At 57.1% G+C, this 14,797-nt stretch overlaps 1 long non-coding RNA gene across 1 annotated transcript, besides 2 other annotated features; it reads right to left on the bottom strand.

Moving 5' to 3' along the window:
• Positions 2,633-3,388: an enhancer, noted in NCBI's record as "H3K4me1 hESC enhancer chr9:137165779-137166534 (GRCh37/hg19 assembly coordinates)". NCBI's record gives its function as "activates a minimal SCP1, AML or CMV promoter by ChIP-STARR-seq in naive H9 embryonic stem cells {active_cell/tissue: H9 hESC(naive)}" and the evidence as "EXISTENCE:reporter gene assay evidence [ECO:0000049][PMID:30033119]".
• On the bottom strand, positions 8,900-9,657 carry LOC124902299 (uncharacterized). Its single transcript, XR_007061836.1, has 2 exons — positions 9,574-9,657; positions 8,900-9,015 (listed from the first exon to the last, which is right to left on the bottom strand). It is a non-coding gene; the product is annotated as an uncharacterized LOC124902299 (long non-coding RNA).
• Positions 9,295-9,927: an enhancer, noted in NCBI's record as "H3K4me1 hESC enhancer chr9:137159240-137159872 (GRCh37/hg19 assembly coordinates)". NCBI's record gives its function as "activates a minimal SCP1, AML or CMV promoter by ChIP-STARR-seq in naive H9 embryonic stem cells {active_cell/tissue: H9 hESC(naive)}" and the evidence as "EXISTENCE:reporter gene assay evidence [ECO:0000049][PMID:30033119]".

Below are 14,797 nucleotides of genomic sequence, written 5' to 3'. Positions count from 1 at the left end.
TGACTTTGCTTACATGCCTCTGGAGACTGTGGAGGTGTCTCACTTCCACTGAGGCAGCAGTTAGAAAGCTCTTCCTTATTTGACCTGAGCAGCACCCCAAGGTCCCACTTCTGCTCCCACAGGACAGATCTTCAGCCAGCCAAGGCACAACCAGGGTGTGCATGTGTTGAGCACCTGCTGAATGCAGCATCCTACTGGCGGCACATAACAGCATGGGCACCACTCCCTGGGACTGGAGGCTTGAGGAGTGCAGACACTGCAGGGCAGCCTACTGAGAGGTCAGAGCCCTGCCCGACTCCGGCCAGGATTGCCACCGCCCTCTCACCCCATCCCCTACAGGCCCCCAGCCACGGCATCCGGAGCCCAAGGCATGCAGAGACCTGGATGCCAGAAGCTGCCTGCGCCTCCCCAGCCCCAGCAGAGAGAGACTCAAAGAGAGAGAAAGGGAAGGGGAGGAAGGGAAAGAGGAGAGAGAGAAAGGGGACGTAGGGAGGGAGGGAGGGACAGAGGCAGAGGGAGCACTTGCTGCCACCAAGCCACTGTTGTCCTTCTTAGCACCACTTAGGCCAACTGTTAAAAAGATTCCGAGGCAATTAGACTCAGGGGAAGCCATAAATCTCAATAGCTATCAGCCTAAGTTCTCTTCCCTCCTTGAAACAGCAGCGATAATGTCACTGGTTGTGGGCCCCAGACTCCCAGAGGGCTTTCTGATAAAAAGCCACTTCTTCAAAACATCAAACCCAAGTTCCTCTCTTCTTTCAAGTAGCCCAAGGGTCAGGTTTCCCAAGAGGGGATGAGAGGGGACGAGGCCTGAGTCTGGGGCCGGCAGGGGTGGATGGCCAGGGAGCGCCTCCTCAGGCATCCACTGGGCAGTGGGGCCTTCGGGCGTGAGGTCAATGCCGAGGCTGCGGGTTCCGAGGTCACTTTGTGGCCTTGAATCTGACATGAGACTTCTGAGAGATGTTTCTCTAACCTCTGCTTGGTTACCACTAGCGGCGGGAGGCTCACTTCCTTCCACAGCCAGTGGGCACCTCCTGGGGTGACTCTTCTGAAGGAAAATGCTTTGGATACCCGTTTCCAATCTGCCTTCTAAAATACCTGCAGGGTCCCAGCACCATCCTCAGTGAGACTGGGAGTGGGTATCGTGACCCCTGGAAGCTTGGGCCCCCCAGGGTATGGAGCAGGGACCCTCAGCAGCAGGGTGGGTGGGGAGGGGAGGCCCAAGCGCTGCACTATTGATTTCATCCTGGATGTGCCTATTCTTAGATATGAAGGGGCATAAGGAAAGCTGCCCTGAGATGTGGAGGGCTGGGAATGCCCTGAGGCCCCCCGCCCCCCCAGTCTGGCTCACTCACTCCAAGCAGGGTTCTCTTTAGCCCTGGGGACGCGGGGTGGGGGCGCTTCTCCTCTCCCCCCACCCCCATGGCGTCTCCCTCTCTTGGTCCTGCCTGCCGGTCACCGCACTGAGGAGGCAGCCCCTCCCCTCCCCATCTTTTCTGCTTCTGCCTCACAAAGAGGAGCCAGAAGGGAGGGCCTCAGGTGTCCACTTCTGTCTGTCCCCATCCTGCCGCAGGAGTGAGAGCTGAGCCATAGTCAGGCACCTCCTGGGTGCCCGGCCCTTGGTCCTGCTTTTCAGCCCTGACCTCACTGACTCCTTGCAATAGCCTGTGGTTGGGGAGTGGGGACTCTATGCTGCCCCCACTCTACAGAGGGGCACACCACATGGCACCCTCTTCAGGGAACCTCCTTGACTTGTCCCCCTAGCTGGAAGTAGTGGGGCTACACCTCGAAACCCGGGCTCCTCCCCTGCGGGGAGGGAGGGATGGGACTCAGCTCACGGTTCATTAGGTCGCTGATGAGATAGTATTCTTGCCGTTTTCCCCCTGCCAGACGGGGAGCTCCCTGAAGGCAGACCCTGACCAGGGTAGGAGTTCTCTCCTCCCCTCAAACCCTGGATACCCTCTTTCCTTCTCAGAAGACCCCTCCATCAAATGGGGGTTACTTGAAGATCCAGTGTGGAAATGTGGGGGAAGGCTAGCTGTCCTCATTTCCTGGGACCTTCTCTAATTCCTCTGTGCATTGCTGCACTGGGCGCCCAGAGGTCTCCATAGCTCGGTCCTGAACATGCAAACAGCAAATGGCTGTGTCTCCTCAGAGGCCACCAGGCCACCTTCCCTGCATCTTCTGCTCCGTGCTGGCTTGGAGCAGGCTTGGCTTATTTTCATGATGAGCGAGTTTGCTCCTCACTAGCACGGAGCCAGGTCCAGACCCCAGCCACCCAGTCCAACCCGGGACCCCGCAAAAAGAATCCAGTGATGTCTGGAATGAAGGTGCCAAGATGGCCCCTGAGGGATGGAGAAGCCAGTCTGCCACGCGCCCTGCAGAGGGGCCTGGTCTTCCTCAACTTCTGGGGTCCCTCTTGCTCCTTCAAGGGGTCTCGGGCTATTGTCGAGAGGCTGCAGCAGCCAGAAACAAGCACAACTGCTCTCTGACCTGGAAACCTCCTTCGCCCAGGCCCTTACACCCACCATGCCTCCTCCCCTCAGGCACAGTCAGAAATAAACAGGTGCAGAGAGGCTCAGCCACCTGCCCTGAGTCACACAGCAAGAATGAAGTCGAGGTAGGATTTGAACCCAGGTCCACCTGGGTCCTGAGTCTGGATTTGTGGCTCACACAGGACAGCCTTCCTCTAAGGAAGTTGAGAAAGCTTAGGGAGCCCTCACTTCACAGATGGAGAGACTGAAGCCCTACAGGGACTTGCCCAAGGCCACACAGTGAGCTGGAACCTTCCAGACTCCAGTCCCTGGGCCGAGCTCCACAGCCCTCCCTAGGACACGTGTCAGGAGGTCCCTGGTGAGAACCTTGAGGGACACCAGGCCTGGGGGAATGCCCCCCAACCCTGTCCCTGAAGTGCCATCTGGACCCCACAGGTGCAGAGAGCCTGGCCTTCAGGATGGCCACCAGCAATGTCCCCCAAACTCAGGCCATCTGTGACGGGGACCAGGGACCCAGTGAGACAAGCAGGAGGCCGCACAGTCCACTTGGTCAACTGTGAGTGCCCTCGCCCTCCCCAGCAGGGAGGCTTGGGCATCACCCTGTTCCTCCGAGTAGCCTTCTTCCCTCCCTAGCTCATGGGCCTCAGGTGCATCCGGGCAGCCCCTTCTGGCCCATGGCATCCAAAAGGAAGCTCTTGTCCACTCCTGGGCAGCTTTTTTCATTCCCTCATTCATTCATTTTCCCTTGAGTATTTGGTGAAGGCCTGCGCTGGGCTCAAGGGAAGCAGTGGTGACTGATTGGGTCCTGGGCCCTGAGGACTTTGGTCCTGGGGGGTTTGGGGGAAGGCAGGTCTACCAATAGGTAGCTTTGATGTGTGGCTGGGCCTGGGCTGGGCCGAGCTCAGAGCGCACATGTTGAGCGCCTAATCCAGACTGAAGGGATCAGGCAGGGCTACCTGGAAGAAGTTGCATCCAAAAAGAGACACCAAGGATGGGAGGAGCTATGCAGATGACAAGAAGGAGGAGGAGGAGGAGGAAGAGAGGAAAAGCAGGCAGGTGGATGAAGAGAGCCGGTCCCTTCCAAAGGGGCAGAGCACAGAGTGGTCAGGGTGGGCAGAGGAGGAACTGGGGCTCTGTCCTCTGGGCAGCGACATCTCTGTGTGCCAGGCCTGGGTGGAGGGAGCTCTGGAGACGTCACGCAGCCCCTACAGCCTGCAGTGAGTGGGGGCCTGAACCTGGTACTGCATGGTCCAAGGAGAGAATGAGCAAATGAAGGGGCCAGGGGGTGCGCGAGTGAGTGAATGAAATAGAACAAAATGTAACTCAGCATCAGGGCGGGACTCGCTCCAGACCACCCTGAGAGCAGGATGCCCAGAGTGCCGGCAAAGCCACCAGGCCCCAAGTGCACAGCCAGCAGGAACAGGGACCCTGGCCCGCGGGGCTGTGGTGAGGAAGGCAGATAGCCTCTGTCCCAGAGCCACAGGGAGTCAGGGTCAGGACGCTCCTGTCTGGGGCAAGGCTGGATCACACCAAAGCTCAGGCTTCCTGGGGGCCTGCAGGCCGGGCGAGGTTTCCAAGGCTGTGCCCAGGTGCTGTGTGGGGGCTGCATGAAGAGTGTGGGGCCATCGCTGCTTCTTTCTGGCTGGAGGCCCCTGGCAGGCAGTGGCGCAGGTATGTCTGCCACTGTCCAGGAGCTCAGGAGATGACCCAGCCTCCCGGATGCCTTTGTCCCATCACCCATTCCGGGCAGAGCCCGGGGCTGAGCAGGCTCAGGGCATCCCTCCAGCCCTCCCATGCAGAGTGGGGGTGAATGCCCCTCTACAGATGCCTGCACACAGGGGCCCATAGTTGGACAGGACCCCCCCCCAGGGCCGGCCTCCCTGCCAGAGCTGGAGGGGGGAGGCAAAGAATTCCCGGAGGAGGTTGTGGCAGTCAGGACAGCAGGCAGTCAGGGCCTGGGCAGTCAGGGTCTGGGCAGTGGCAGGCAGGAGACGGCCGCAGTGGCCAGGGCTGGGGAGTGTTTGGCACAGGGACGTACAGAGGACTTCGAGCAGCTGGCAGGGACTGCGATGACCTGGGCCCTGCGGGGGGAAACGAGCAGCTGGGCTTGGTCACAGACTCTGTACCAGCCTGGGGCAGGGCCCTGGGAGGCTGGGGTACCCCAGTTCTCTGCACAGATTGAAGAGTCAGATGGACTTAGATTCGACACCAGATTTACAGCTGAGCAGCTGAGTGGCCTTGAGCGAGTCACCGAGGCAGGCTGGGTTCAGCTCTTCGTCTGTAAACGGCTTCAGGATTCTGCACCTGTGAGGACCGGGAGCAAATGAGAACGTGCCTGCCACTCACCTCACAGCCCACCTGGGAAGGGCCCCTTTCGTAGCTCCACCCCTTGGCTTCGGGTGCAGGTGCTCCTCTCCCGGAAGTCCCCTTCCCCCCTTATGTTCTGCACTTCTCAAAACCCCCATCCCTCCTTTAGGGCCAGAGCATAGCACCTGCCCTTCCTGGGGCCGCCCGCTGGCCCCAGGACCTTGTCCCCTCATTTCTGGCTGCTTCACAGTGCCGGATGCAGTGCTTTGCTTGGTCTTGGTCAGGGGTACAGACCAGGGCCATCTTCCAGCAGCTCTGAAGAGCCAGTGCCGCTGCCCAGAGCCTGGTGTTGAAGAGGATGCTGAAGTGCACTCCAGCTCTGCAGGAGGCACCGCTGAGAGACACGGCCACGGTGGGAGTGTGGAGTGGACACAGCAGAACATGCGTCTCTGGTCCACGGGCAGGGGTTTGAACATGAACAGCGGGTTGCCGGCATGCATAACTTAATTGCAATAATTAATGCATGGATACCTGCTGGATGACAGGGGTGAGGCGGTCCCAGGCAGCAGCAGGAACCGCCTCCTTCTGCTTGGGTGCAGTGTGCACTCCCCAGAGAGGCAGCGGTTGGAAGAGCAAGAATGCTTACGCTTTGTATCTGTTTTCTGTTGCTGTTCTACCACACACTCAGCAGCTTGGAACATGCATTTCTGACCTCACCATTGCTGTAGGTCGGAAGTCCAAGCAAGACTGAGCCGCGTGCCCTGCTCAGGGTCTCACGGGGCTGAAATCTCAGTGGCAGTTCAAATAGGCCAGCACTCCTTTCCACGGTCCCTCAAGGGGTTGGCAGAACACGTTTCCTTGGGGCTGTAGAATTCATAGACGCTTCCGTCTTCAAAGCAGCAGGGAGGTCGGGGAGGGAATCTGCTCCCGCAAACCTCTGCCTCTGGGCTCGCTTCTAAGGTGCTCCCCTGATTAAGCCAGGCCCACCCAGCATCATCTCCCTTCTGATTAACTTAAATCCTGCAGAGTAGGGGATTTATCTGCACAATCCCTTCACCTCTGCCATTTTCTACTAGCTGGAAGCAAGTCACAGGATTTACCCACACCTAGGGGAGAAGGTCACACAGGATGGGGGTCACTTCAAAATTCTGTCCTCATCAAGCACCTGTGGAGTGCCAGCCTGTATGCTGGCACCTGATGTGCTTATGGAATTTCATTCCATTTCTTTTTGAGACCGAGTCATGTGCTCATAGAATTTCATTCCATTTCTTTTTGAGACCGAGTCTTGCCGTGTTGCCCAGGCTGGAGTGGAGTGGTGTGATCACAGCTCATGGCAGCCTCAACCTCCCGGGCTCAGGTGTTTCTCTCACTTCAGGCTCTCGAGTAGTTGGGACTACAGGGGTGCTCCACCACGCCTGGCTGATTTTTTAAATTATTTTTTGTAAAGACGGGGTCTCACCATGTTACCCAGGCTGGTCTCAAACTCCCGGGCTCAAGCGATCTGCCTGTCTTGCCCTCCCAAAGTGCTGAGATTATAGGCGTGAGCCACCATGGCTGGCCCTTAATTCAGTTCTTTCAAGATAAAGCTGGTGGGTATTCCCTCCCCCACTCACTGTTGGCCCTGAGGGTCCTGCATGGCTGCTTCTGCCAGTCCCTGGAGGCTCCCATCCCCTCCCCTGCCCCCAGCTCACCCCTTTCAGCCACACTTGACCTTCCCTCTGTTCCTCAGATGCACACGGCTCTCGCTGCCTTGGGGCCTTTGCACAGGCTGTTTGGTGCTCTCATCACTTGGAACACTCCCCTCCCTCACCCGCACTCCAGCACCTTCCCATCCTCCAGGACTAAGTTTCAATGTTACTCTTAGCTGGGCATGGTGGCTCACACCTGTAATCCCAGCACTTTGGGAGGCCGAGGCGGGCGGATCACTTGAGGTCAGGAGTTGGAGACCAGCCTGGCCAACATGGTGAAATCCCGTCTCTACTTAAAAATACAACAATTAGCTGGGCATGGTGGTGTGTGCCTGTAACCCCAGCTACTCAGGAGGCTGAGGCAGGAGAATTGCTTGAACCTTGGAGGCGGAGGTTGCAGTGAGCCGAGATCGCGCCACGGCACTCCAGCCTGGGCGACAGAGCGAGACTCCATCTCAAAAAAAAAAAAAAGTTACTCTCCCAGAGATGCTGACCCTAACCATGCTGCATCATCCTGTCTCGGGACCTCTGCTCTTCACCTTCACAGCCACTTAGGCTTAGGCCTCGTAGAATCTCATCTGTGCATACCTTCTGTTTGTCTCTACAACTGGACAGCGAGATCTTGGTGGCCAGGAACTTGCTGTTTGGTCACCATGTGAACAAACAAGGTTGGTGCCCGCGGTGGTGGGCAGGATTCTAGATGCCAGCAGGACCCCCTCAAGTGTGGGAGGAGCAAGTGAGTGTGATAGGAAGGACTCCGTGAAGACACTCCATGAAGGGTAAAGGGTGAAGACACTTCGTGAAGGGTGAAGGATGAAGGCACTCCGTGAAGGGTGAAGGATGAAGGCACTCCGTGAAGATACTCCATGAAGGGTGCGTCCCATCACACTTGCTTGTTCCTCCCACACTTGAGGGACTTTGCAGATGTAATTAGGCTTCTAATTAAAATTTTGAGATAATCAAAGGGGAGATGAGCCCTTTAAATCTGGGTCTGGAGGTCAGAGGCAAAGGATGTCAGAGTGTCTTAGACAATGGCAGACCTCTCCTGCTGGCCTGAGGGAGCAAAATGCCCTGTTTTGGAGAGGACCATAGGCAAGGAGCTGGGGGTGCTGGAGTTGCTGGGAGCAGTCCTCAGCAGACAGCCAGCGAACAAAGGGACCTCAGACATGCAGATGCAAGGAAACAACTCTGCCAGTCCCACAGGGCAGCCTGAACTCAGCTCTTCCCCAGTCAGGGCTCCAGGTGAGAACACAGCCCAGGACACACCTGAACACAGCTCTTCCCCAATCGAGCTCCAGGTGAGAACATAGCCCAGGATACACCTTTATTTCAGCCTGTGAGACCCTGAGCAGAGTATCCAGACAAAATGTGCCAGACTGCGACCCACAGGGCCGTGCTCAGCCATGAGCTGCTGGAAGCCCTAAGCTGGTGGGAATTTGTTTTGCAGCGATGGCACCCCAGTACGCCACCCACACCCTTTCCACCCACCATTGCCTTGTCACTCCCAGGGCAAGGGTGGACACTTATCCCAGCTCTCACCCCTCATTGGGTAACACTGTGGTGCAAATTCTGCACTAGTTCACATGGTCGCAGGTGGCCTTGAGCTCTGGTAGCCCACAGTGGTGACCTAAACACACACACACACACACAGTCTTGAATCCTGCTCTCGGGGTCCGTCTCAGGCACTGTCCCCTGGCCCCCAGCCTGGCACCTGCATTATAAATTCCCAATTCACATAGAAGGAGAGATGTTGGTAACCCGCCTAGGGTCACACAGCTTGTGAACGGGGAAGCTGAGATTCCCACCAGGACCGCCTCCTCACTGTTCAGCTCCACCACTCAGGTCACAGCCCACGTGGCAAGTGAATGTGACTGCTGTGGCCCTGGGTCCTCACTGCAGCCTCTCCCAGACTGAAGAAGGAAGCAGTCAGCAGACCACCCTCCCATAACCCAGCCCTTTGCCTGTCAACACAACATACAAGCTCATCTAGAAATAGATAAATTTACTAGGAGGAACCGGAGCTTTAACAAAGAAAATTGAGATGCCCGAAGGGGGATGTCTAATTTTTATCCCATTTCACAATTGAATTGTAAATCGTGTTGGAGCTAAGCTCCCAGGCCCAGGTCTGATTGCACTGAGACATGACTCGGAGGAGCGGTCGAGGGCTGCAGCCACTTCCCCATACCCCTGGGCTTTCCCCTCCGGCCCCGCCAGCTCCCAGACCAACGCAAACCGCAGAGGATGCAGGTGACCCTGGGCCCTCGGGCTGCAGCTGAGCTCCTGAAACCAGCCCATGGGGCACTGCTCAGGTTCACTTGTGGTGAGCAACACCAGGGGCTCGTGTTGGCAGCTCATTGCAGACTCAAACGGCAGGATGTTTGTGAGGTTTAGACACTGTAAGAAGCGAGGTTAGCTTTGGAGATCGGGTTTCCATTTATTTACGAACAGTCTGATGGCCGCCTCCGTGTCCTGGGCCTTCTCATTCACAGGCGCCCACAGCACTCTCTCCTGGATCCTTCCATGACCTGCAGAAGGAAGCCCCACTGTCCCAGCGTCCAGGCGAGGAAGCAGAAGCATGACCCAGCCCAAGACTCAGAGCTGGGCCGTGGCAGGGACAGACTGCCCACCAGGATCTGCTTGGTGGGGACACTGGTGCCTTTCACAATGACAGGCCCTTCCTTGTGTGCTCCAGCACTGGCTCCTGATAAGAGTGACACTTGGAGAGCAGCAGTCCCATGAGGCAGACATGCATGACAATCGGTTGCCAAGGTCAGGGTAAGCGGGCGACTTTAGCCCTCACGTGGTGAGGTGCTTGTGCCTGTAGCGTGCTGCTGGCTGCAGCTCCGGCCCTGAACCCTCCATCCTGGCGGGTAGGAGGCCTCGCCGGCTGGACAGCAACAAGCACAGGGTTTAGACCCAGAGCAGCAGGAGCCTTTGCTCCCTGCCCTTCCGACCTCCTCCCTGCTCATTCCAGAAACTGTTCCTATTTTAGGCCACAGTCACTTCTATGCCACCTAGGAAGACAGCTGGGGCCCCACTAACAAGCACACCATCCTGTTCTTCCAAAGCAACCAAAGTCTTACCTTCCTGGCCACTCTGCAGCCCCCTCAGCGACCCCAGGCCTTGCCTGCTGACACCATGTCCAGCCAACAGATGTGGACATGAGCCCGAATTTGTCCACAGCCTGGCACATGTGTGAGAGAAGAGAACCAGGGGTTCTGAAGACAGCCGGTGAGGAGGAGCAACCCCCCTGGGCCGGGCCGGGGATTCCTCTGTGAAGACGGAGCCCTGCGCCCCTCCAGCCATGCCGGCCCACACACCTGCTGGCTCCCTCTTCTGGCTGCAAGCTCTTCTCCTTCTGGGAGGGAAGCTTGGGGCTGGGCTCTCCACTTCCTGAAGGCTGCCCTGTCCTGACTCTCCAGAGGGTTCCACTGACAAGAGCATGGATGCTTCTCTAAGTACTGATGGGCAGGTACTCAGGGAACCCTCAGGTCCCGAAGGCTTGGGGATTACGATCCCATTTGCCAAGCCTCCGGTCAGACTGTGGTGGGTGGAGAGTGGGTATGGGGAGTACACCTTCTGCTGAACTACTCTGAGGAGAACCCTCACCCCCAAGAGCCCACCTCCACCTGATTTCAGCAACTGCACCCCAGGAAGAGGGCTCCACTTCCGCCATGAAGGGGAGCAGGGGGACCTGCAAGCATCACCCTCCTCAGTAGCTGGAGACCCGGCCTCAGGGGACTGCACTTAAAGTCAAGAGAACATTTGCTAACAAACCAAGCAGTCCATTCCCACCCCACAGAGGGGGCTCAAGCAGTATGTCTTTACAGCTCTCTATGGAAGCCTGCAGTTTCTAATCTAGACTGAAATGGTAGATGAAAGGGATCCATCCATTCATCCATCCACCCATCCATTTATGTATCTACCCTACCATCCATCCACCCATTTGTATATCTACCCTACCAACCATCCATCCACCCATCTATCTAGCCATCTACTTTACCATTCATCCATCAAGCCACCCATCTATCTACCTACCCATCCATCTATCCATCTACTTTTCTATCCATCATCCACCCATCCTACCACCCACCCATTTATATATCTACCTACCCTTCATTCATCAATCCACCCATCCATCTATCTACACGTTCATCCTTTCCATCCATCTATCCATCCATCCATCCATCCATCCATCCAACCATCCAAACACCCACTCACCCAGGTATCCATTTACCTACCCTTCCATTCGTCTATCCATCCATCTATTCATCCATCCATCCAACCATCCTAAAGCCACCCACCCAGTTATCCATTTATCTACCCTTCCATTCATCCATCTATTCATCCATCCATCCATCCATCCAATTATCCTAACACCCACCCACCCAGGTATCTATTTATCTACCCTTCCATTCATCTATCCATCCATCTATTCATCCATTTGCCTATTCAGAATTCACTTAGCAACTATCATGTGTCTTACTGTTTAGTCCCAGAGGGTCCAGATGCACCAACCTGGTGTCTGCCCTTAAGACAGACACAGACACATAAACAGATGCTTGTGAAACATCGGGTACAGGCATTCTGTGTGGATGGCACTTAGCCAACAGGACTGTGCGCCGAGGTTGTGCAGTGCACTATCCCTGCACCATCTCATGAAGGTCTTCCTGCTGAGCCCCTTGCCCGCCTTCCCTGCTGCTTCCTATCCCCTTACTTTTGCATGTTCTAGAAGTAACATCCTTCCCTCCAGTCTAAATATCCAAATCCCACCTGTCCTCAAGATGCAGCCCAAAGCTAATGCTTTCTGTGTGTCCCTGAGAAGCACTTAACACACTGTACCTCAACAGCCTTCTTTGTCTGTTTCCTCTAGACTGGGGGCTCCCTGGAGGGGCAGGGGGCCTGTCCTATCCTGTTCACATCAGCATCCCCACACAGACCCAATGCAAGAGCTGATGCTTTTAAGAAGTGTTTGCAGAAGGAAGAAATGAAGGTAGGGAGGGAAGGAGGGGGAATGGTCAGAGCTCCCTTTGGTGACCCACCCACCAGGGATTCTGGGCCCTGGCCGTCTGTCCTTCTGGCCTGGTGAGCTGCCTTCCCTCTCTTCTGTGGATCTGCATGTGACACCTGGCACCTTCTTTGAGGATGAATCCTAGCCCATGGTGAAGGTGCCCTCTTGCTGTCCCCAGCCCCAGGCCACAGGATCCCCACATCTGGATGGGGACTGACCTACCCCTTCCTGGGTAGGAGACTTGCCAGACTCAGCCGTAGGAAACTGACAAGTCTTTGGAAAGCCCCTGGCCCTGCCCTGCACAACCAGCCCCCACCCCAGCGATTCTCAGCCCAGTGGGGGCATTTGGGAGTTTCTTCAAGGAACTGGCTCATCTCTAGGGGGCACCCTGGGAGGTAGAGCTCCTGGTTCATCACTTTTCAGTAATGGCCACTTAGAAAACCTGCCTGTTAGAGAACCTCTAAACGAAGACCAAGGGCCACAACCTTGACCCTTGGCCCTGGGCACGAGACCACATTTCCAAGCACACACCATTTAATGTTTAATCTCCTGTGAGGCTTCCAACTGCTAATGACACGACATTAACTTGAACAAATAAGACCATTCAGAGGAGCCGACCTGGAATCTGTGAGGTGTCAGCCAAGCCGTCACAGTCCCTCTGGCCACAAGGGTCTCGGCTTGCCCAGTCTAGGGGCAGGGGGTAAAAAACCATCCTAGTTCCCCAGCTGTCTCGGGGTGGGAACGCAGTGGGGGCCGCAGGAGCTTGGAGCCTCACCTAACTCCCTCCTCCACCCACCATTCCCAGTTTCTCAAAAGGGAACTCCGCCAAGAAGTCTGCCCACAGAGCTGACGCCCCACTCTGCCTGCACCCACCGGAGTCAGCACTCTTGGGGCTGGGCCCTGGCCACTGTCCTGTCTCCTCCACTCTCTGAGGGTCAGGGTGATGAACCAGCAAGCACCTTTCCTAGCCGGGCTTCCCCTGAAAGCAGCCCCCGGGACAAGGATGCAGGTGCAGGTGGAGACCCCCAGAAGTGCCGTGAGGAGCAGCTTGGGAGGGACAGGGACAGGAACGGGCCTTCATGGGGTGGGGGGGGTATCTGCTGCGGGCAAGGTGGCTCCGTACCGCAGGCCTCTGTGAGACGGCAGAGCACACCCTGGAATTGTCCCCGGGAGGGACACCTGCCTGTCATCTCCCTGGCTGGAGGGCCATTCAGGGGCATCAACTCCCAGCACCTCTAGCTGACCTCTCCTGTGGCCAGAGAAATGCAGAAAGCCAAGAGGGGGCGCAGTGACCCCCGCCGCCATTCTGCAGATCCCACGAGCCAGGGGCTGTGTGGGTGAACCTTTGCTGTCACTGCCTTCAGCTCCTGGGTTAGCTCTGCTCACTTGGAAAACTGCCAGGAACACTCCACCATCCCCATTTCAGAGATGAGGAGACTGAGGCCCAGCCTGGCCACGTGGCCTCACCAGGTGATGGTGGAGCCGGGTGTGGGCTTTGAATTTTCGGGCCATCTCCCTGAGTCTCCAGGTACCAGCTGCGTCTGCAGGACTCTGAGCTCAGAGGCAGGGAGAGACCCGCAGAGGCTGCCCTTCTCCTGAGTCCAAGGAGGCCACCGTGGGGGACAGGAGGGCAGGATGGGAGACGGGAGCCCCAGGGCCGCCGGACCCAGCTGACACGGAAACCCTCCCTCTTTTCATCCAGAAGTGGAGGGAGAGGGGCCGCTGAACGCAATCATGGCCACATGAAACTCAGAGAACACTCGAGTAAAGATCTGGTCCCTCGGCCGTTCCTGGGCCCCAGCCAGGCAGACCAGGGTCTCTGAAGCATCTTCATCAAGAAGGAACTTCAGTGCTTTCCTCATGGAAACACTCCAGCTGATTAGGTGGAAGAAACACTCCAAATAATTGACAGCAAAACCACGAGCCCCGAACCCCCCTTGCAGACCACAGGCCTCCTCCTCCTCTCCTTCCCGCTCTCTTCCCCTCCCCGCCCGCATCAGGTTTCCCGGCTTGGCCCCGATACAGCCCTGGAAAGAAAGCGCTCCCCAGAGCGGACCTTGTTCACCCCTTTGCTGAGCGGCTCAGGGTAGGGGAGGGGCCCAAATGTGCCAAGAGTGAAAATAAGCCCTCTCCTTCCCTCCCAGCTCACGGCCTAGGCCCAGGGTCCCTTCCTCCCATCTCCCAACCCCTCCAGGTGGCCTGGTCCTGAGCTTCTGAAGGTCCCTGGGAATAGGTCGGCCAGCAGCGGAGAGGAGAGGCTGTGGAAGGGGCCGTGGGTGGAGCTGGCCTTTAATTCAGAGCTGTGAGCCGGGGGGTGGGAGGGCAGCTGGGGTGGTACAGGGGTGCAGGTGGGTGCGGCTCATGCAGGAACTTGACCACAGCCCACGGAGCTTGACTGAGCTCTTTTGGTGTCACCCGAACCAGAGGGGACCCTCGGAGGAAAAGACACCACACACTGCTCTGCATTCCCTCGTGGCCTGGGAGAGGGGCCGACACAGACACAGACCCCCATGCCCAATTCCAGCAAGGTTCTCTGAGATCACCCTCTGACCCTGTGTGGGAAGGGCGCCCTGAGCACCCCCTGGGGCTGGGGCCACCATGGGCCACTGCATTATCTTCCAGACTCTGCTCAGTTAAAAGGGACAGAGGAGGACCACTGTCCACACAGAGGTAGCTGTGTGTCCTCAACGGGTCCAAGCACCCCAAGGCACCCTCCCCAGCCTGGCCACTCCACCACTGCCCCACAGAACTGCATGCCACGCCCATGTCATGGCAGACAATGCCCAGGGTGTGTGTGTGTGTGTGTGTTGTGTGAGCGTGCACATGTTGGGTGTGTGTGTGTGTTGTGTGAGCGTGCACATGTTGGGTGTGTGTGTGTTGTGTGAGCACGCACATGTTGGGTGTGTGTGTGTTGTGTGAGCACACACATGTTGGGTGTGTGTGTTGTGTGAGCGTGCACATGTTGGGTGTGTGTGTTGTGTGAGCGTGCACATGTTGGGTGTGTGTGTGTTGTGTGAGCGTGCACATGTTGGGTGTGTGTGTGTGTTGTGTGAGCGTGCACATGTTGGGTGTGTGTGTGTGTTGTGTGAGCGTGCACATGTTGGGTGTGTGTGTGTTGTGTGAGCGCGCACATGTTGGGTGTGTGTGTGTGTTGTGTGAGCGTGCACATGTTGGGGGTGTGTGTGTGGTGTGAATACGCACATGTTGGGTGTGTGTGTGTGTTGTGTGAGCACGCACATGTTGGGTGTGTGTGTGTGTGTTGTGTGAGCACGCACATGTTGGGGGTGTGTGTGTGT

The sequence above is a fragment of the Homo sapiens genome, chromosome 9 (assembly GCF_000001405.40).
Source record: "Homo sapiens chromosome 9, GRCh38.p14 Primary Assembly".
Lineage (NCBI taxonomy): Eukaryota > Metazoa > Chordata > Mammalia > Primates > Hominidae > Homo > Homo sapiens.
Note: the sequence above shows the minus strand (reverse complement) of the source record. Positions and strands in the feature narration are given on the sequence as shown.